We start from the raw sequence: 21,120 nt of genomic DNA, 5'->3' as shown, positions 1-21,120 counted from the left end.
ATGAGGCCTCTCAGCCACGTGGAACTGTGAGTCCAGTTAAATCTCTTTCTTTTGTAAATTGCCTAGTCTCAGGTATGTCTTTATCAGCAGCATGAAAACGAACTAATACAAAGTCAGAGAAGATACTTGATATTACTTCAATATTTTAAAAATTTATAGATTTTTTGTGGCCTAACATATGTCTATCCTTGAACTGAGGAAGGATATTTGGCCTAACATATGTCTTTTCCATGTGCTGAGGAAAAGAATATGTATTGGGCTGTTGTTGGATGAAATGTTCTGTAAATATCTATATTAGGTCCATTTGGTTTATAATGCAGATTAAGCCTGATGTTTCTTTGTTGATTTTCTGTCTGAATGATCTGTGCAATGCTGAAAGTAGGGTGTTGAAATCTCCAGTTATTATTGTATTGGGGTCTATCCCTTTATTTAGCTCTAATAATTTTGCTTTATATATCTGGTGCTCTAGAGTTAGGTGCATTTTTTTTTTCTTTTTGGAGAGGGTCTCACTGTGTCACCCAAACTGAAATGCAGTGGCAAGATCACAGCTTAGTGCAGACTCAACCTCCCTGGCTGAAGCAATTCTCCCACCCCAGCCTTCCAAGTAGCTGGGACTACAGGTGTATGCCTCCACACCTGGATAATTTTTCTGTTTTTTGTAGAGATGGGGTTTCACCATGTTGCCCACCTGGTCTTAAACTCCTGAGCTCAAGCAAGCAGCTAGCCTCAGCCTCCCAAAGTTCCGGGATTATATGCATGCTCCGCCATGCCAGGTGCGTGCATATTTATTTACAATTGTTATATCCTCTTGCTGAACTGACCCCATTATTATATAATCATCTTTGTCTCTTTTTATAGGCCTTGTCCTGAGATCGATTTTGTCTAAGTATAGCTACTCCTGCTCTTTTTTGGTCTCCATTTGCATGGAATATCTTTTTCCATTCGTTTATTTTCAGTCTGTGTGTCTTTACAGGTGAAATGTGTTGTAGGCAATACATCACTGAGTTTGTATTTTTATCCATTCAGCAATTGGATATCTTTTGACTGAAGAGTTTAGTCCATTTACATTCAATGCTATTATTGATAAGTAAGGACTTACTCCTGCTATTTTTTATTTGTTTTCTAGTTATTTTGTGGGTATTTTGTGTGTTTCTTTCTTCTTTCTTTCATTCCTATATGTCTTCCTTTTAGTGAAGGTGATTTTCTCTGGTGGTATGTTTTATTTCTTGCTTTTTATATTTTGTGTGTGTTTTTTTTTTATTTGAGATTACTATGAGGCTTGCAAATTCTAACTTAGAACCATTATTTTAAACTTTCGACAATTTGACACTGATTGCAGAAGAAAAGAAACAACCTAACAAACAAGCAAAGCAAAAACTAATAAAAGCTCTACATTTTAACTTTGTCTCTCCACTTTTTAACTTTTTCTTGTTTCTATTTATATCTTTTTATACTGTCTGTCTTGAAAAGTTGTTGTAATTATTTTTGATCAGTTCACTTTTTAGTTTTTCTACTCAAGATATGAATAGTTTACAAACCACCATTACAGTATTATAATATTATGTGTTTTTCTGTGTACTTACTATTACCAGTGAAGTTTTGTACCTTCAGATTTTTTGTTTGTTTGTTTGTTTTGTTTATTAACATCTTTTTCTTTCAGATTGAAGAACTCTCTGTAGCATTTCTTGTGGAACAGGTCTGGTGTTGATGAAATCTTTCAACTTTTCTTTGTCTATGAAAGTACTTATTTCTCCTTCATGTTTGAATGATATATTTGCCAGATATATTATTCTAGGGTAAAAGTTTTCACTTCAGCACTTTAAATATGTCATGCCATGGTCTCCTGGCCTGTAAAGTTCCCACTGAAAAGTCTACTGCCAGGGGTATTGGAGCTCCATTGCATGCTATTTGTTCCTTTTCTCTTGCTGCTTTTGGGATCCTTTCTTTATCCTTTGGGAGTTTGGGACCTTTGGGAGTTTGACTATTAAATGTCTTGAGATACTTTACTTTGGGTTAAACCTACTTGGGATTCTATAACCTTCTTGTACGTGGACATTGATATCTTTATCTAGGTTTGAAAAGTTCTCTGATATTATCCCTTTGAATAAACTTTCTACCTCTCTCTACCTCCTCTTTAAGTTCAATAACTCTTGGATTTGCCATTTTAGACCTATTTTCTAGATCTTGTAGGCATACTTCATTCTTTTTTTTTCTTTCATCTCCTCTGACCGCGTATTTTCAAATAGCCTGCCTTCAAGCTCACTAATTCTTTTTTCTGCTTGATCAATTCTGCTGTTAAGAGACTCTGATGTATGTTTCAGTATGTCAACTGCATTTTTCAACTCCAGAATTTTTGCTTGATTCATTTTATTTCAATCTCTTTGTTAAATTTATTTGATAGGGTTCTAAATTCCCTCTGTGTTATCTTGAATTTCACTGAGTTTTCTCAAAATGGCTATTTTAAATTCTTTGTCTGAAAGATCATATCTCTCTCTCTCTCCAAGATTGCTCATTGGTGACTTATTTAGTTCATCTGGTGAGGTCATTTTTCTTTTCTGGATGGTCTTGATGCTTGTGGACATTCATCAGTGTCTGGGCATTGAAGAATTAGATATTTATTGTAATCTTTACGGTCTGGGCTTGTTTGTATATGTCCTTCTTGGGAAGGGTTTCCAGGTATTTGAGGGGACTTGGGTGTTGTCATCTACATTTTTGGTCACTGCAGCCATATTTGCATTTAGGGGCACCCCAATCCCAGTAACACTGCAGCTCTTGCAGACTCATAGAGGTACCACCTTAATGGTTTTGGATAAGATCCAGAAGAATTCTCTGGATTACCAGGCAGACTCTTGTTCTCTTCCCTTAATTTCTCCCAAACAAACAAAGTCGCTTGCTGTGTGTTGAGCTGCCTGGAGCTGGGGGAGGAGTAACACAAGTACCCCTGTGGTCACCACAGCTGGGACTGTGCCGAGTCAGACGAAACCACTACAGCCCTAGGTCTTGCCCAAGGCCCAGGGTTACCACTGTCTTGCTACCATCTATGTTCATTCAGAGCTGTGGGGCTCTATAATCAACAGATGGTGAAGCCAGCCAGGCTTGTGTCCTTCCCTTTAGGGTGATGAGTTACTGCCAGTCCCATGAGGATCCACAGATGTTTTCTAGGAGCCAGAGCCTAGGGTTGAATAGGAATCTACTTGGTGCTGTATTCTACTGTGGATGAGCTAGCACCCAAGTCACAAGACAAAGTCCTTCCCAATCTTCTCTTCTGTTTTCACAAGCAGAGGAGTCTCTCCCTGTGGCCACCATTGCTCCAGGCTCGTAGCAAATACTGCCTGGCTACTGCTGATGTTCATTCAAGGCCCAAGGTCTCCTCCATCAGCTTGTGGTGAATGGTGTCAGGGCTGGACCCTCCTTTAAGGACAGTGGGCTCTCCTCTGACCCCAGGCAGGTCCAGAAATGCCATCCAAGAGCACACGCCTGGAATTGTGGACCCCAAGAGTCCACTTAGGGGTCTACTTGGGGTCCACAATTAGGTGTGGCTGAGCTGGTACTTAAGCTGAAAAACAAAGTCTCCTTTACTCTTCCCTCTCCTTTTCTTAAGTAGAAGTCCCTCCCATAGCACCATAGCTGGCAATATGCTGGTTCACAGCTGAAGCCCACACATATCTGAGTTTCATCTAAGGCCCACAGAGAGTACTGCCTGGGTACCACTGCTGGTTATGCAGGGCCCAAGAGCTCTTTAGTCAGCAGATGATTAATCCTACCAGAAGTAAGTACTTACCTTCAAGGCAGTGAGTTCTCTCCTGGTCCCAGGGTATTTCTAGAAATGTCATCTGAGAGCTAGGGCCTGGAATGGGGGCCTCAAAACCCTACCCAATGCCCTATCCTACTGTGACTGAGCTGGTATCCAAGATACAAGACAAATTATTCTTTATTCTTCCCTCTTCTCTCCTCAAGTGGAGGGGAGGTGTCTTTCCAAGAGCTGCAAGCTGCACTGCTTGAGGTTGGGAGAGGAATAGTGCAAGCACTCCTTTAGCCACCTGTGCTGGTGTCTCACTAGATTGCATGCCCCCCAAGTCCACTGCCTCTGAACCCAGCACAGCACAAGGACTTGCCCAGGAATTGTCATTCTTGTAGCCTAGACTGCCTTTCAACTTTATTTATGACCCTCGAGAAATTTAGCCCATGGAGGCAAGGCTTGCTGGAACTCAGGTTCTGATAGCTGGTATGAGTGATTTCCCTCTAGCTAGGGCTGGTCTAAATGCTCCGTCTGTGGGCACAGGCTGAGTTCTACCTGGTGTTGCTTTCCATTGTGACCGGGCAGCACTGAGTTTCAATGCAAAGTCCCAAAATCTCTTGAGTTCTCCCTCCCTAAGCCCACAGATTCTCTCTTTGTGCCACATGGCTACTGCCAAGGGATGGGTGTAGGGTGGCCTTGGCAATTGAAGACTCTTTCCTTCCCTCTTCAGTGCCCCTTTCAGTGATATGAAGTTAAAACCAGGTACTGTGATTGCTCACCTGATTTTTAGTTCTCATGAAGGTGTTCTTTTGTGTGTGGATAGTTGTCAAATTTGGTGTCCCTATGAGGAGGATGATCAGTGGAGGCTTATATTCAACCATCTTGCACTGTCTCTTAAACCCTAAATCCTTCCCCCTTGCCTCCATAACCAGACTTCCCTACACTCCTCTTTCTTTGTTTCAGCAGTCATAGTATTTAAGGTGGAATTCAAAGTAATATCTTTGAGATCTACTCCTTTCTCTGGGTATTTCTCATATATTTTATACATATATGGTTCACTTGTTAATAAACTTTTGGTTTTTTCCTCTTGTTAATCTGTCTTCTGTTACAGGAGTCCCAGCTGAGAACTCAAAAAGGATAGAGTGAACATTATTTTTCCTCCCCTATAATGACTTATACTGTATCTAGCACAAAGATTCTGTTTACTAAATGCACTAATCTACCTAAATTGCAAACCTCAGGAAACCCTTTTCGTTAAAGGAAAATAGTTCTTTAGAAGCCCCATATTGACTTATATTAGTTTTAGTGTTAATTTAATAAGAAATAAACCACAATTTTATACATAAATTCCTCAGACAACTCTTACCCGATTATAAAACTTTAAATTATAAATTAAATAAAAGCAAAATTATAAAATAAGAAAACTTAATTTTTTAGCAACAATTTAACACAACTACAAATTGAAACCAATTGCTAAGGTAAATGTGGTGCTGACAATTGCAATGTGGGCTCTTCTGAATTCAGCATTCCCATGCTAGTATTGTATTCTAAAATGTCGCTCTACTTCTCTCCATTAGAACTATTGAGACAACTTAGTTCTCAGAGTGAACCAAGACTTCTGTTGGCCTTTACTATTTACTTAGCTCTAACATGCCATTAAAGTATTAGATACAGCTGTTTCTCGTCTCAGTAACTTGCAACTAAGTGGCACCAGCACAATTTTCAACATCTGTGGGCACTAAAATCACATGATCGTTCTCAGTGATCAGATGGTTGTTCATATAATCCAGAATATGCTCATATTTTTCAGTTCATCTTTAACATGAAAATACAGATTTTGTAAAGCAATTATTAATAAAAATATGTGGATTCAAAAGGTCAAATTGAGTTTGAAAAATGCTGGATTAGTCCCTGAAACTTAACAGCTATCATATTTTCCGCCTTAACTCATTACCACTCATTATTTTAGAGATGGAGCCAGCAGTGAGCCCAGACACAGAAATTCAAATTTGAAAAGAATCAGTGTAATTATCTAGTTAACTATTCAAAACTATATTGAGTGCATAATATTCACATTAAGTTGTGCTAGATAGGGAGGATAAGACAGAGATTACAAGAAGCTCAGTCTATTTGTTACATGGACCTGTTGTCTAAAAGAGGAGAAAAATCAGATAATTAAATCACACAATTTATAATAATTTTCATAAGTGCTATAAGAAGTATTAGTGCCTTAGGGGCAGGGTGAAAGCTTCCTTTCTACTCATTGAAGGTTTACTGAAATAAATGACAATAGACAGATAAATAGAGAAAGAAGCCATAACAAATTAATGTGCATATGTATATTGGAGTCCTGCAAATATGAGACTCAAAGAAGGGCCAGATGGTTGAGGGTTGAATGCCTTCTTCACAAGGGAGAGGGAAATGGGGGGTGAGACAATTGCAAGGGGACAGTAAATGATTTTTAGAGGAATTAAATGAACCCAAAGAACAATGGTCTGGGACAAGTTTCCTCTGAGCTTTGCAGGAAATGGCAGGAAGGTGAGGGGTAGAACTTCACTGTGAATAAAGTTTGCCTTATTACACAGAGAAGGTCTTCCAGGTAATCTCTCAAAGTTGCCCTCAAAAGAATAGATGGAAAGGTTATCTGTGTATGGTGGCAGATTTTTAGTTTTTTATCTTCTCTGGTTGTTAAACGTTCTTGGTTATTTGATGAAATTCCTAGGGAAGGGATTTAAGATAATTCATTTCTTTTGGAAATAAGTTTCCTTGGTCAGATAAGGAAATTCCAGAGGGAGTCCTTCCCTGCATTTACTGAGGATTGGGGGGACATGAGAAGATTAGAAAGTCTTTCATTCTGAAGCCACTTCTGAGGCCTTCTTGTTTTAGTTCAAAGTGTTCAGAATACCAAAATGCCAAAATTTGGGATATCATTTTATGAGGCCCAAACAGTGCCAAGTCACCTAATATATCTAGGGATCTAACCTATCAGTATACTAAGATGAAAAGGCAGAATGCAGAGCTGCTGACCAGGGAGGCTAGCAGCATGCTGTTCATATAGAAACTCCATCATCATGAATGAGCCAAAGAAGAAAGATCAAATCTTGTGTCTGGGAGGTATAATTGCTGAGTGAGTAGGTTATTCAGCCATTCATGTTACTGTCTTCAACAACAAAAAAACATTTGGTCAATTATTTGGGAAATCAGAAATTCATCCCAGAGTTAGACAAAGGGGGCCTGAAATGACAGTGGCCTGAGATGAAAATTCACCTTGATGTAAAACTCCATCACTCCAATTTTCTGTTTGTAGCTCTTCCTTGGAACTCTGAAAAACTCCATTGACATACTACAAAGACCAGCTGATTGGACTGGAAGAATCAGCTTGGCAAGTAGTAGGTGTATGAATCCATCTGTGAGCTCAGAACTTTATTCATAGCTCAGAAAGATGGATGAAATATCAATATGAACATTACAATGGCTTACTTGCAAAAGCTGCTGGCATCATGCCCAATATTATTGTTTTCCTGATAATTTCCCATTTGTTCACCTCATGGGATTTTTATACTGCAACACAATAACATTCTTGTGAGCCATCCTACTCTCCTTTTGAAATAAAGTAGAATACGAATAAGTAAATGGGTACATAAAAACATATGAATATGTTGTTACTAATATCAAGTGAGAGCTCATTCCTGCTTAACCATTTTTGTTCTTGCTAAAGGATCATTTTTTTAAGACTCTAATATTTTTAGAGCAGCTTTGAGTTCACAGCAAAATTGAAAAGGAGGTACAGAGATTTCCCATATACTCCTGCTCTCCCCTCCAACATACATCACAGCCTCCCCCATTATCAACATCCCCCACCAAAGTAGCATATTTGTTACAATCAATGAAACTACATTGGCATTATCATCATCGAAAGCAGGATGAGTTTTTAAAATTTCAGAGTTGAAATGGATATTTAAGGTGAGTTATTCGTTTTTTATTCCTATATAACAAATTACCACAAATTTAATGGCTTAAAAAACACTCATTTATTATCTCACAGTTCTGTAAGTCAGGAGTCCTGGTGAACTTGGCTAGGTTCTCTGCTTAGCATCTAACAAGCCCAAAATCAAGTCATTGGCTGGGCTGGGGTCTTATCTGGAGACTCTAAGGAAGAATCTGCTTTCAAGCTCATTGGAGGTATTGGTTGAATCCAGTTCCTCCTAAGGACTCCTCTCCTTGCTGGCTGTCAGTCAAGAACTGCTCACAGGTCACAGAGGCTGCCTCCTTTCCTTCCCACAGGCCCCCTCCATCTTCAAAGCCAGTAATGACACCTTGAGCCCTTCTCTGCCTTCCTCTCTGCCCATCAACAGGAGAATGCTCTCTATTTGTAAAGGCTCATAGATTCAGTCTGGCTCATTAGGATACTCTTTCCATCTTAATGTCAGCTCTGTCATATAACACAACACATTTTGGGAAATTCTGCTTCTAGAAATTCTGCCTACCAGGTCATCTTGTCCGATCTTTTACTCAACACCAACTCTCCACCAGATAGTTACTTGGCATCTACTTGAATATTTCAAACAACAGAGCCTCACATTTGCTAGGAATCAGACTTTCCATTTTTCTACCATGTCAGTTGTCCCAGTGTCCCTTCTGAAGTTGAAGGAAAGCCTGTGTATTCTCTACTTTAGTGCCAGTCCTGCTTTTTTGAGCAACAAAAATAAGTATATTTTTTCTTCCATGGAATTGCCCTTCAAATATGCATAACTCTATTTATTCTTTTCCAATATAAACTCCCCTAAATCCTCCTATTTTCCTAAATCATTGAGCTAAGGAAAATTTTGTATTTCTCCTGTGTTATACAACTTGGTACTTAGAACCAAAGGCAATTTTGAATGGAGGCTCAAAATAAAAATATAATAATACGTTTTTAAGGTTAAATGTAGTAGCTATATATTGATACTTATAGAAGAAATTGATTTTTATATAAATTTATACTTTCAAAAGGATTTTTCTTGATTATTTAATATCTATATTATTTTCTAGAATTTCTGAGCTGTCAATTATTTCTAAATTATTAGATATCTGTCTTCCAAGATTTTCTGCTTTGCATTGTTGGATGTTTCATGGCAGAATTTTATTTTCTCCTCTGATTTTATTTTTCTGAATTAAAGCTGTTGGAAAATGATTCAGTTTCATATTTTTATGAAAACTCTTCCAAAGTGTGCTGATCAGTTGTGACAGACAATTCAGTTTCCTTCATCCTAAGCAGAAACATTTACCCTGAACTGTTTTATTTTTAGTCACTCGCTTAACCCTCTAGTGACTAGAAATTGGCTTAAATACAAGTATCTATTCACTTGTTAGGATAATTGACTAAAATATTGGTGTAAAATGCCTTGCAGTAATAACTAAAATGAGTTAAAATAGATCTAGAATACAGAATCTTAGGCCAGTTTTGGAATTATAGTCATTGACGTATTTATAACATCTAGCCTCTGGGAATGCAGCTTAGATGAAGTCTTATTTCTTTTGTTGCCCTGAGTTAGCACCACAGATCCTTGCACAGGGTAGGAATTCAAAAAATATTGATTGAATTTCATCAAGTTTCCATAACAGCTGCTGCTGGACTTAACAGGAAAATCTGGTACAGAAGTGAAAAACAATCTGTAGCCACTGAGATAATAATTAAACTGTTGACATTAATCTTTGGTTTAACGTGTCACTTCCTAAAACTTAAATTAAGGGTTTGGAAATCAGAGAAGATACCTAATTTGAGAACCTTTGATTCTTGTTTGATTTGATTCATTTTAAAAAGAAAAGGTAAAAAATATCTCCATGAAGCCTTTACTTTTCTAGCATACAGGCATTTGATAAACATTAAGTAATATACACATTTTGATGGACCAAGGGAATATAAACTCTTTGACTTCATTGTTTCAAAACTAACAAGGCTTTAAATAAATAGGGAGTGTCCTTTAATTTTCTTTATTTGCAAAAAAAATTAATCAAATTTTGGCTGTAGAAGGTTTTTCATATTTTGTAATAACTATCAGGGTAAGTTCTGTGAGTTCTCTCCTTCAGCGATTAGAATAATTTTGTTCTGCATGTAAAAGCAAATCTCTAAAAAATAGCAGTGTGTACATATTATAGTGATATAATAATCCATTTCATAAAAAAGATGCATTTTTATATGCAAGATGATAAGAAAATATTAATGAGGATAAAAATAGCACTTTGCTGATCAAATTTAAGCCACATCATTTGAAAAACTTTAAAAGGGCACTTGTGCTTTTAAATGCAAAAGAAGGAAAAATCAATTCATTTTTTCTAAATTGTTTCTTTTTGTATGTAAACAAAAATATAATTTGGAGTACACCTACACAAGAAAAATACACGCAAGCAAATTTTATTGCAAATCTAAATGAGACAAAAACAGTTCTGCAGGAGGGTCGATTTGTTATGATTTCCTACTCAGTTCATGAATGGCAGGCCACTTCCTTATGTTGTGTGGCTACCAAAACAATGTCTAGCATATTGAATTTGCAGATCAAAATGTGTTTTGTTTGTTTTTTGTATACACATCATTTGCTAAAGCAATTACAGTGAAGTAGTTACTTGGTTGGAAGAATTTCTGCCTTTTTAATAACTCTGAAAATCCTTTCATTCTCCTTTAAACAGCAATATCTACTTAGGTTGTCCACTCCAAAAGGGCAGACATAGCCACAAATTTATTCTCACTGCTTGTTAATGACAATGATAACAAAGACATGGGGTACTTTCTTATGGAAAATTCAGCTCATTATGCTAATATAATAGCCAGATATCACACAGCCACTTTCTTGGCCTCCTCCCCATCCCTACCTTACCCTAACATTGTTGTTAGCAGCAGAGAAGAAAAGAGCACGTGTTCTGGAGCAAGACTTCCTGGTTAATTTCCTCCCCCTGCTACTTACAGCTTGTGTGGCACTGAGTACCCAACCTCTCTGATGCTGTCAGGATTAAATGAGTTAATACATATAAAGTGTTTACAAAAATACCGGCCATGGGACACACTCAATAAAAATTAGCTATTATTCCTAATTTTTAAATTTTTAATTTTCCTAATGTGCCTCATACACTTGCCATTAATTTGTTCAATGATTTGGTAATTATATGTGTTTTGGGCACTGTCCTCAGTGCTGGAATTATAGCAGTGAACAAAACAGACAAGATCCCTGACCTCATGGAGCTAGTATTCTAGCAGCGGGGAGATCCAGGAGCATGGAGTGAAATCAATAATAAGTGACGATACTTTGAGAAAAAAGTGTGGTAAAGAGAAGGAGTGTAACAGGGTTGGGGTCATGAAAGGTCTCTCTGATGAGGTGACACTTGAAATGAAGGAACAGGACCTGAATAAATAGGTCTGTGTGGAGCCCACATCAGTCAGGAGAAACAGCAAGTGATGAAGAAAAGCAAGACTGGAATCTAGTTGACATGTTAGAGGAAGAGCTTGAAGGTCATTGTGATTGCTGGTCAGGTCCACGAGGAGAATGGTACGAAATGATGTAAGAGAAGAAAAGGGGCAGCATCAGCACCTACAGTCAGTTAAGCAGGATTCAGTGCTCTTGGTAAATGTGGGATGGGATCTTGGCTGCAAAAATCACACCCAACCACCCGTATGCAACAATACAGGAAAGCTGCAGCTGGAGGTGAGGTAGTTGTTGGGAAAGGAATGTTGCATATCTCATGAATTCCTTTAGGTAACGTAATTATAGCAGTGAACAAAACAGACATACACATACACAATAGCTACTTCTCTAAAATATTCACATAATTCTCATTGCTGCCTACTGCCTGTATACACAATTTAAAGTTGCCAATATTTCCATCTGTATTTTGAATCAAAATTGATCTATGAAGACATACTGTAAATATTTTTATATTGACTCACTCAAATAAATGGACTGTTCATTACACAAATGTGAATTTCATTTTGATGATTTTTTTCCCAAACTTCTGTCATCAATAAATTGAACCCAGATTTTTCTAGCTAAATCCATGGGAGAAGAGAATTAGCGTTTGCAACATAACCTGTTTCTTGAGTATCATGTAGTTGGATAATTCTTTTATAAATCTTTCCAAGTTCTAGGTATTCTTTCCACTCTAAAACATGGGATAATCTAAAATCTATATTAGAAAGTCTCTAATTCTAACTTTATCTAAACCATCTAAAATATGAATTGTCTCTCATCATATATTTTTATAGCAGATGGGAATCATGAACTGTAGTGAAATATGAATCTCCCAGGGCAGCAGCTACTCTGTCACCAGCCCATCCCTCTCATGAATGCAGCCAGACTTGCTGTGCTGTGGCTTCCCTGGTGTTCTCTCTGTGGATGAACTAGGGCACACTAAGGAAGGGGCATCTGATTAAACTTGTTACAAATGAATAGCAGATTACAGATGTTCCTCAGTGTTCAATGGGGTGACATCCTGATAATTTAGCTTCGCCTACCTTAAACATATTCAGAACACTTACATTAACCTACAGTTTGACAAAATCATCTATCACAAGGCCTACTTTATAATAAAGTGTTGAATAGCTCACCCAATTTATTGAATACTATACTGAAAGTGAAAAATAGAATGGATGTATGGGTACTTGAAGTATGGTTTTTACTAAATTTGTATTGCTTTTGCATCATCTCATGGCAGTGAAAAGGAGGCCTAGCATGACTAACTCCATTTTGCTCTTAACCCCCTTACTCCTTATGCCATTTAGGTTAACTGCTTTTCCTGATCTCTGCATATAGGCCAAGCTAACTACTGGAGGAATTCAGCCTATAGTTTAACTTTAAGGCAAGGATGATAATAGTATCTTCCCAAAACTAACCCCTGAGGAGACAAGGAGTGTACACACACAAGTGACAATATTATGTTAAAGATTTATAGGAGCTCTGTGACCTGACCAAGGAAAAGGAAGTTTCATAAACTCCATAGACCCTCACTGCCACCCAAATGTCTGTGCTCATTGGCTGTCTCTTGACCTCAACCCCACTCCTCTTTCCCCTTCCAGTAACAAAAGAGGCCTAAAATTCAACCCCACTCCTTTTTCCCCTTCCGGTGACATAAAAGAAGCCTAAAATTCACATTACAATGTTTTTTTAGGACACTGGTCCACCATCTTCTCAATTTGTGGGCTGAGTAAAAGTCACTTTCTTTGCCCCAAACACTTTGTCTCTAAACTTATTGTCTATTTTGCAGTGAGCATTATGAATTTTGGACTTGGTTACAATCATAAAATCAGAAACTCATAAGCTGAACCATCTTAAGTCAGGGACCATCTATCAAACAGTAATGCAATCTTTCATTTATGCTGAACAAAGAAATCTAAAAACCCTATGGTCCTAGTTATAAAACTTCAATTATCTGCTCTCACAAGGCACTTGTGAGGCTCCTGACACCTAAGTATCCTGATTTCAAACAACATAGCAGGGGTCCTCTGGCTCCAGAAGATTGTACCAGGGATGATGCCTGACTCAAATTCAAGGCACTGATGTCAAGGTGATAGAAAATAAGAACTTTGCTCAAGTTCAGACATGATATTGAATGTAACTGGTGGACTCCACTGGATTTTTTCTCCGGGATTTTTTAGATAAGATTTAGTGAGATACCAAGATGTGTAGAGGGGGAAAAATAATCTCTTCTACCTTTCATGAGTTCTGGGTCTTTTGCTAATTTGTAAGAAAACAAATTAACAAGAGAAAAACAAACAGAAGTTTAATAACATGTGTATCTTCTGTATAAATGGGAGCTAACCCAGATAAATGAGCAAATCACTTGAGCAGATCTCAGAGAGTTGTCTTAGACTTCAGGATTAAACAATATTCTTCTCTGAAACAAACAAAAAAATAAGGATGTAAGGAAAAGCCTAAGTTATGATGAGGTGGTCTGGACAAACAAGAATAAGCTTTGTTATGCAGATTGATGTAAATTCCATCTCTAGTAAGAGTTTCTATGATTTAGTCATATCCCTCTCTTTCTGGTACAGAGAGCAAGAAAAAGAGAGAGACCCTCACAAATGGAGATTTTCTTTATAAATGAAAATTTCAGTCAAAAAGGGTAACTTCCATTGTTTTCAGAACTCCTATGTTTACACTTTGTCAAAACAATCAGCTCAAAATAATCTCTATGCCAAAGAGGCATATTTGGGTGACATACTGTTAAGACTCAGAAAATGGTACTCCAAAGTATGGTGCTTTGACATGATGAGTGCTTTGAACTAAAAATGAACCAAGGTCCTCTGACCTCTTGTGCTATTGACTCTTGTTCCTCTTTCTACCCAAAAGTGAAAAAAAGGGGATTCCTATGAAGTTCCCTTATCTGTCTAAAGACAGATTTCCTCCTGTATCATCTGTTCTCATGCTGCTAATAAAGACATACCTGAGATTGGGTAATTTATAAAGAAAAGAGGTTAAATTTACTCACGGTTCCACATAGCTGGAGAGGCTGCACAATCATGGTTGAAGGTAAAGGGGAAGCAAGACACATCGTACATGGCAGCAGGCAAGAGAGCTTGTGCAGGGGAAAAACCATCAGATCTTCTGAGACTTATTCACCACAACGAGAACAGTATGGGGGAAACTTCCCCCATGATTCAATTACCTCCACCTGGCCCTGCCCTTGACAAGTGGGGATTATTATAACTCAAGGTGAGATTTCGATGAGGACACAGCCAAACCATATCACTTCCTAAAGGAATTCAATGTCTTGTACCCCCTTTCTAGGACTCTCATCAACTAGGAAAGACTAACTGTATCATAGCAGAGGAGACTAAAGGTTGACACACAGATTGTCAACAGCATCACCTGTTCTTCTGAGGGCTTCACCCAGACAACTTTTATTACCTGAGAGATTTTTTATCTACATAACAAAACAACTTTTGTTTGCTGTGCATTTCCTCCCAGCACCCTCCCATAACCCATTGCCACTTTCCCGCCAAAGCCCCAAGCCCTATTCCTGTCTGCAGCTCAGCATGTTGTAAAAACTTCAATCGTCTGGCTCTTCTTTGAGTTTCATATTTTGCGGGACTCCCAGGTATTTGCATATAATTAACATGGTTTTTCTCCTGTTAATCTTTCACTGTCAATTTATTTTATAGACTCAACTATTAAGCCTTCAGAGGGTAGAGAGAAAGTCTTCCTTCTCTCCTATAATAGTTTTTGTTCTCCTACAGTCATATTTTTGGGTGGTATGTCCTGAGCCCTTCACATTGAAAGGAATTAGCCAGCTTGCTTTAGGCAGACAGTAAGGAAAGGGTCCCCCGAGAACCTCCAACTACCCCACAAGTGCTTACACCAGATATTTTTTGCAGATAAGGGTTCTTGCACAACGGGCTTACCTAAACATGCCTGCAGCAGACTAAGGGCTCACATGAGCCCTAGGGGAATGGGGTAGAGTGACCAGGAATTCAAACTTTATACAAATAGGGAACCTAGTCCCATCAGCTTATATATAAAAGCCCTGGTATTCAGCTGGTAAGGGGGCAACCGGCAGCCTGCTTTTAGGACTCCTCTCTTTGCTAAGATCTTTCGTTTCCTTAGACCTTGTCTTCGTTTCACTTAATAAATTCTATTCCATTCACTCTTCAAGTGTCTGCATGCCTAATTCTTCCTGGTTGTGAGACAAGAACCCGGAACTAGCTGAGCTAAGGAGAAAAATCTTGTATCATTTTGGTGGCCCATATGGGGACCTAAGAAAAGGTGAGTAAAATGCAGACCCAAGAAGAAACCTCTTTCACTTTTTCATTTCCGAGCCTTCCTCTCAGACTTTTTCTGAAAACAAATGGAGCACCAGGTCTCTGTTAGCCAATTAAGAATGAATGGTACAGCTGCAGAGACTGCCATCTGCTCCCCATGTCTGCTACATGTGCATGCTGCGTCCAATGACCACGCTGGGTGGGAATGCACACTGGTAGCTGCCCATGCCCCAGGGCAGTCTCAGGGATCAAGGCCCCGGCGTGGCCAGCTGGCTAGCAATTCTCGCTCACTGTCTCCTCGCACCACATGCCCAGAGTCTTTCCTCCCCCAGCCAAGCCAAAAGGAGGGTACAACAGTTAAGAGTTTCTCTCCCTGTTGGAAGAAACTATTTGCATAATGCTATATATTTTCTCCCCCAGGCAGCTTCCCCACCCTGCACTGTAGCTGTTGTTTTTCCCCCCCCTTTTTGTAGCTATGTCAGGAGTTAACACATAGCCCTGTGAATACAGGGAATTTTTCTATGTGAGTGACTTTTCTTTTCCTTTTGGAAGGTGTCTTGCAAGGCCAGGACCCCGATTCATAGGACTCCCTTTTCTCTCCGTTGTTTGAGGAGGGCCACTTGGGACTTAATGAGTCCATGAACCCTCCTGAAGCACATTTTTGTCCCAAACACAACTCCTACCTTTGGCTTGAAGCCCTAAAAAGAAAAATTAGATCTGAGGGATCCAGAGGCAGGCAACAATGGAAGAAAAGGGGCACAGCACAGGTGAGCATGACTAATTTCTGCCAATTAGCCCTCCCCCCATTACGTGGGTAGGGGTCATGCTAGTATCCATGGCATAGACAAGGTCTAAGGAACTCAAAGGTTACGAGCAGCAGGGGAAAGACAGTGTGTGGGTAAATGTGGATAATTCTCACCCTCCAGACCCCCTGTTAACATGAGTGAAAAGCTGCATTGGCACCCATGGGCAGTACTCTGCTGAGGCCTCTGGGACTTAGGGATATAAGAATAAAATAAAGGAAGATGGACATTTCTTCTTTCTCTCCCTCACATACCCCTGGTATTCACTGGGAAGATAAAGTAACTAGGGACAGCTTGTTCCCCTCTTTCTAGGTGGGTAACAATAATCTTCAGTCTGTATTTCTCTTGAATGCCTCCTGAATCACTGGGATTCCTTTGAGGGAAAAAATGGCTTCTTTCTCCTTTTTCCTCCTCTGTCCTCTCTTCACAGATGGGTAACTGTGTCCCTGTACCACAGACACTCCCCTTGGATGAATCCCCCAGACTGGGAAAAGTTAATTTCCCCAAAACTTAAACTGCATGGCTTAAAATTGAGCTTGGGGGAAGGTTATTATGTTAAGCTACTGTAAACTACAAGAATAAAAAAATTTATTTGTCAATTGTGTTTTTGACTGTAACTACATTGGATATTTTGTCATTCGCAATTGTTGTCTTAGATCCTTTTCAAAGGTTGGTTTATAATCAGCTATAAGACTTTGACAGGTGCTCTTAAAGGTAGGTTTCTGATATCTTTGATGATTGTAACATTGGAATAGAGGAAAAATGTACAGGACTCATGAAGAGCTGAAATGTTCATGAATATCAAGCAGAACTAGAGTTAATGGAGTGGACTGAACTAATAGAAAACTGAAGTAATCTTTTAAGCTTTTTGCTTAAAATGTTGCTGATCCTTGTTCTGTTTTTCAGAGTCAAGGAAACTTATTTTGAGCTATTTATACTCTTTAGCAGTGGAGTAAGGTATACTCCTGTGAACAAAATTTGGAGCATATTTGTTTCTCTCTGCCTGGCTTCTCCAGAATTTGGAAACTATTTGTGAGTATGATATAAAATACACTGTAAAATGTACTTTAAAAGACATAACTATGATCAATTCAAGAAAAAACAGTCTTATGAACTGAAATAGACTCAAAATGGATTGACAAACAGGAGATTAAAAACACCACAACCTATTAAGTTCCCAGCATCAGAAGGAGGCAAAAGAGGCTGGAAAGAGTAGGAAATACCCTGTTCTTGAAACCAGGCTCACTGTGTGAGATGAGCCAAAATTAAGTGCTCCAATATTAAATCAAGGCTGGAAAAGAGAAAAAAATACTGTATATCTATAAAACCCAGGGATGGCTCAATGACACAGAAATAATCATCAACCAGAAACCCAAGCAAGCTATCTGCTGGCTGGGACTTTCAGGTCTCCAATATAAAATCTAGTATTATACTGGAAATCCCAGAGTGTCCTGGGTGAAATAAACTGAAAAGCCAGGAGACAGAAGGGGTTGAGGAAGGAAGGGAGGGAGGGAATCGAGGGAAATATCTCCCTTCCTGATGAGTTTACAAAAATTGTAAAGTACATGAAGAAAATACATGCCATGAAAGATAGCTAACCAACTGAAAGTAAAACGGTAAGATTACACCTATAAGGAGGTTATGATAGGTGAGCTAGCTTAAAAATGACTTTAAAGCAATATATTTTAAAACTTTAAGGAAAGAGAAAACAATGTTTTTCTAAACAAAATGGTATTGCATGGGGAAAACAAGATTTTACATAATTTAAGAACATAGAGATATTTAATCAAAATTGGACATAAAGGGATAATTTGGTTACTTGAAAGTAAGGTCCAGAATTTAAAACAGAACTTAGAAAAAAAAGATTCAAAACTATCAAAGACAATTTAGGAGACATGGAAAATAGATTGAGAAGCTCAATATTCATCTAAGAGAAAAGAATGAATATGTCGAGAAAAGAAGAAATAGAAGGGAATAAATTTTCAAAGAGAAAGTGGCAGGACACCTTACTAAAAATAGAATAGCTATGAGTCTCTGGTGGACAATAGTCATTTTGCTGCGCTTACATTAAGTGGGAATTTAAGAGCTGAATATCAAGCAAAAATAAAAGAACTTAAGAGTTTGCAGAAATAAAGGAAACATTACATATTAATGGCAAAGACATTGGGAATCCACCAGCAACAATGATGGCCAAAAAACAAAGGAGTAACCTCTTCAAATTGAATGGAACAGTAATGGATAGCTCAGTCATTATTCAAAGGGGAGGGAAATTTCAAGACATTTTCAGACATGCAAGATCTAAAAGTTTACTACCCATGGAGTATTTAAGAAACTACTGAATGGTGTATTACAGAAAAAACAAGTAAATTGTAATAAAAATATAGGTCTTAAGAAGCAATTTTTTAAAAAATGATAAAACCTCTTAACTCATTGAGGTCCCAAGAAAAGTGATTTGATATTGTTGATATGGAAAAAGTATATGTGGGGAAGAGGAGAAGGATTGTGTTGGCTGGATAACATGATCAAAATGCCCTTCTTGCTCATAAAGAAAAAACTGCTGAAAGCAGATAAATAAAAATGGTAAATATTTGAGACCATAATAAAAAAAAATTTAAAACCATCAGAGTAGAAATTTGTAATCACTAGGCCATCGAGCCAGGAAAACTGCTCAGCTTTCTGACTGCATAACCAATTTTTATTTTTTCCTGCCCTTAACCTTGGCAATAACTTCCCTATTCCCACCTTTATTAACCAGGCAGGCAATGAGGCAGGAATGATTTCAAAATATCCTGTAAAGTGTCAATGCCTTGAATTAGATACAAAGGAAGCAACAGATATGTTGTTGCCTTTTTATCTAGAAGAGGAAAGTAAATAACAGTGAGAAAGTAAACAAGGGTAGAAAGCAGAAAAAGATAAAAAATGAAGCTGAAAAGTAAAAGAAGCAATTGCTTTTCATTTAAAAGCATGGAGAAAACTGTCTTAGTCCATTCAGGCTGCCCTATAACAAAATACCTTAGACTGGGTAATTTATCAACAACAGAAATTTATTGCTCACAGTTCCGTAGACTGGGAAGTCTAAATCAAGGTGGCAGCAGATTTGGTGTCCAGTGAGGATCTGTTCCTTATAGAGAGTGCCTTCTGTATGTCCTCACATGGAAGGGTGGGCAAGCAAGCTTCCTTAGGCCTCTTTTATAAGGACACTAATTCCATGCATGAGAGCTCCACCCTTATGACCTAATTACCTCCCAAAGGCCCCACCTCTTAATATATACTGGGAAATAGATTTCAACGTGAATTTTGGAAGAATACAAACATTCAGACTATTGCAAGAACTTTACAGAAAAGGAAGCGAATGTGAACTGTGCTTAAACAGTGAGTATTTGGATACGTTTGTGGAGTTATAAGTAAGGAAGAAGTCCTTCCAGGCAGAATGAGGTAAGTTCATTTCAGAAAGGAAACCATAGGGCATATGAGGGACATTCATAGGAACTTTGTAAGGAAAAGGGAGAAGCTCAATTTACCTAGGGTTCAGGGCAGAAGATAAAAAATAAAAATACATCAGGACAAAATTATCACTATATGTGTATTCTCAAGCTGTTCTCCCAAACGACCTTTTACTCCTATTACCAAAATCTAAAAGAATTTCAACTTTTCAGGACTTAGCTTCTATCTCTTTATTATGTTGACTGGATAAATTATAGAAAATATCAGGACTGAAAGAATCTAGAATCACAGTTGAATACTTACATTGGAAAGGGAGAAACCTACTTGGGGTGAAGATTGGATCCAGGAAGGCAGAGGGATCCAGGGTCTCCAGGGACTGGGTTGGAGTAAAGGGGATAGGCATTGTGAGAGGAGGAGGAAAGGTGTCACCAAGGCAGCTGTGGGGCTGCAACTTCAGTGTTTGTTGGATGCACAACTGGAACCTATAAGAAAGGACTTATGCTTATTGATAATGCAATATTAATGGAAAGAAAATCATAAAGGACTTTTAATTCCAAACTAGAAAATTGAAGATTATGAATAGTAAGTTTCAGAATGAGTTATGGATACAGTGTGCTATGGCTGAAAGAACACTGAATTTTTATCAGAAGCACTGGGTTCATGCCTACCTCAGCCATTTATTACCTGTATGTAGACATTATTTAATTGGATCATATTTCTTCATACATACAGTTGATGTGAAAATTACAAGGACTGGAATTACATGAATTAATGTCTGTGAAAGTACTTTGTCTAATTTATTCTATAAATAAAACATTATATTTTTATTGTGGTGGTCATGCCATTATTATTTTCTGTGTTGAATCTCTTAAATGATCTTCACCAACTTCTTGGGATTCTGTTAAAATTATCAATTAAGGGGGTCTCTTTTGCTAGCATATGGTTGAGTCCATGACCAAAGATTAGTTAGAGATCTCATCTCTCATATGCAATACCTGATTTCTGGTAGGCACATAACCTGGAAGAGGAGAGCAGCATCACCAAGCACAGGGACCTTCAACATGGTTCTGTCTGAATACAATTTCTCAAACCAATAATTATATTTTACCGCTAGAATTTTTAAGGTCCAAAAGAACAATTTAACTTTGGGTTAATAAGAAAAAGTCACAGGCCAAGGAATTGAAAAGCAGTTTCCACCTAAAGTTTAGGGGCCTAAGGCTAGATATTCAGCATAATTACCAGTGCCTACATTCTAGAAAGATGGAAATAGGATGACTACCATCCTCCTTATAATTGATAAACACAGGGTTTTAAATCTTGCTATTGTTGTTGTGGGTTTCCCCCATCCCCTAAACAGATGCTCCTCGACTTACGGATGGGGTTACATACCTATTAACCCATCGTAAATG

The 21,120-nt window shown here is 38.2% G+C and overlaps 1 protein-coding gene across 10 annotated transcripts in view; it reads right to left on the bottom strand.

The window, feature by feature from the left end:
* The window catches only part of C8orf34 (chromosome 8 open reading frame 34), a 488,651-nt gene that overhangs the window by 142,195 nt on the left and 325,336 nt on the right, over positions 1-21,120 (bottom strand). The gene's annotated exons all lie outside the window — the stretch shown is intronic.

This window comes from Homo sapiens, chromosome 8 (assembly GCF_000001405.40).
Source record: "Homo sapiens chromosome 8, GRCh38.p14 Primary Assembly".
Taxonomy (NCBI): Eukaryota; Metazoa; Chordata; class Mammalia; order Primates; family Hominidae; genus Homo; species Homo sapiens.
Note: the sequence above shows the minus strand (reverse complement) of the source record. Positions and strands in the feature narration are given on the sequence as shown.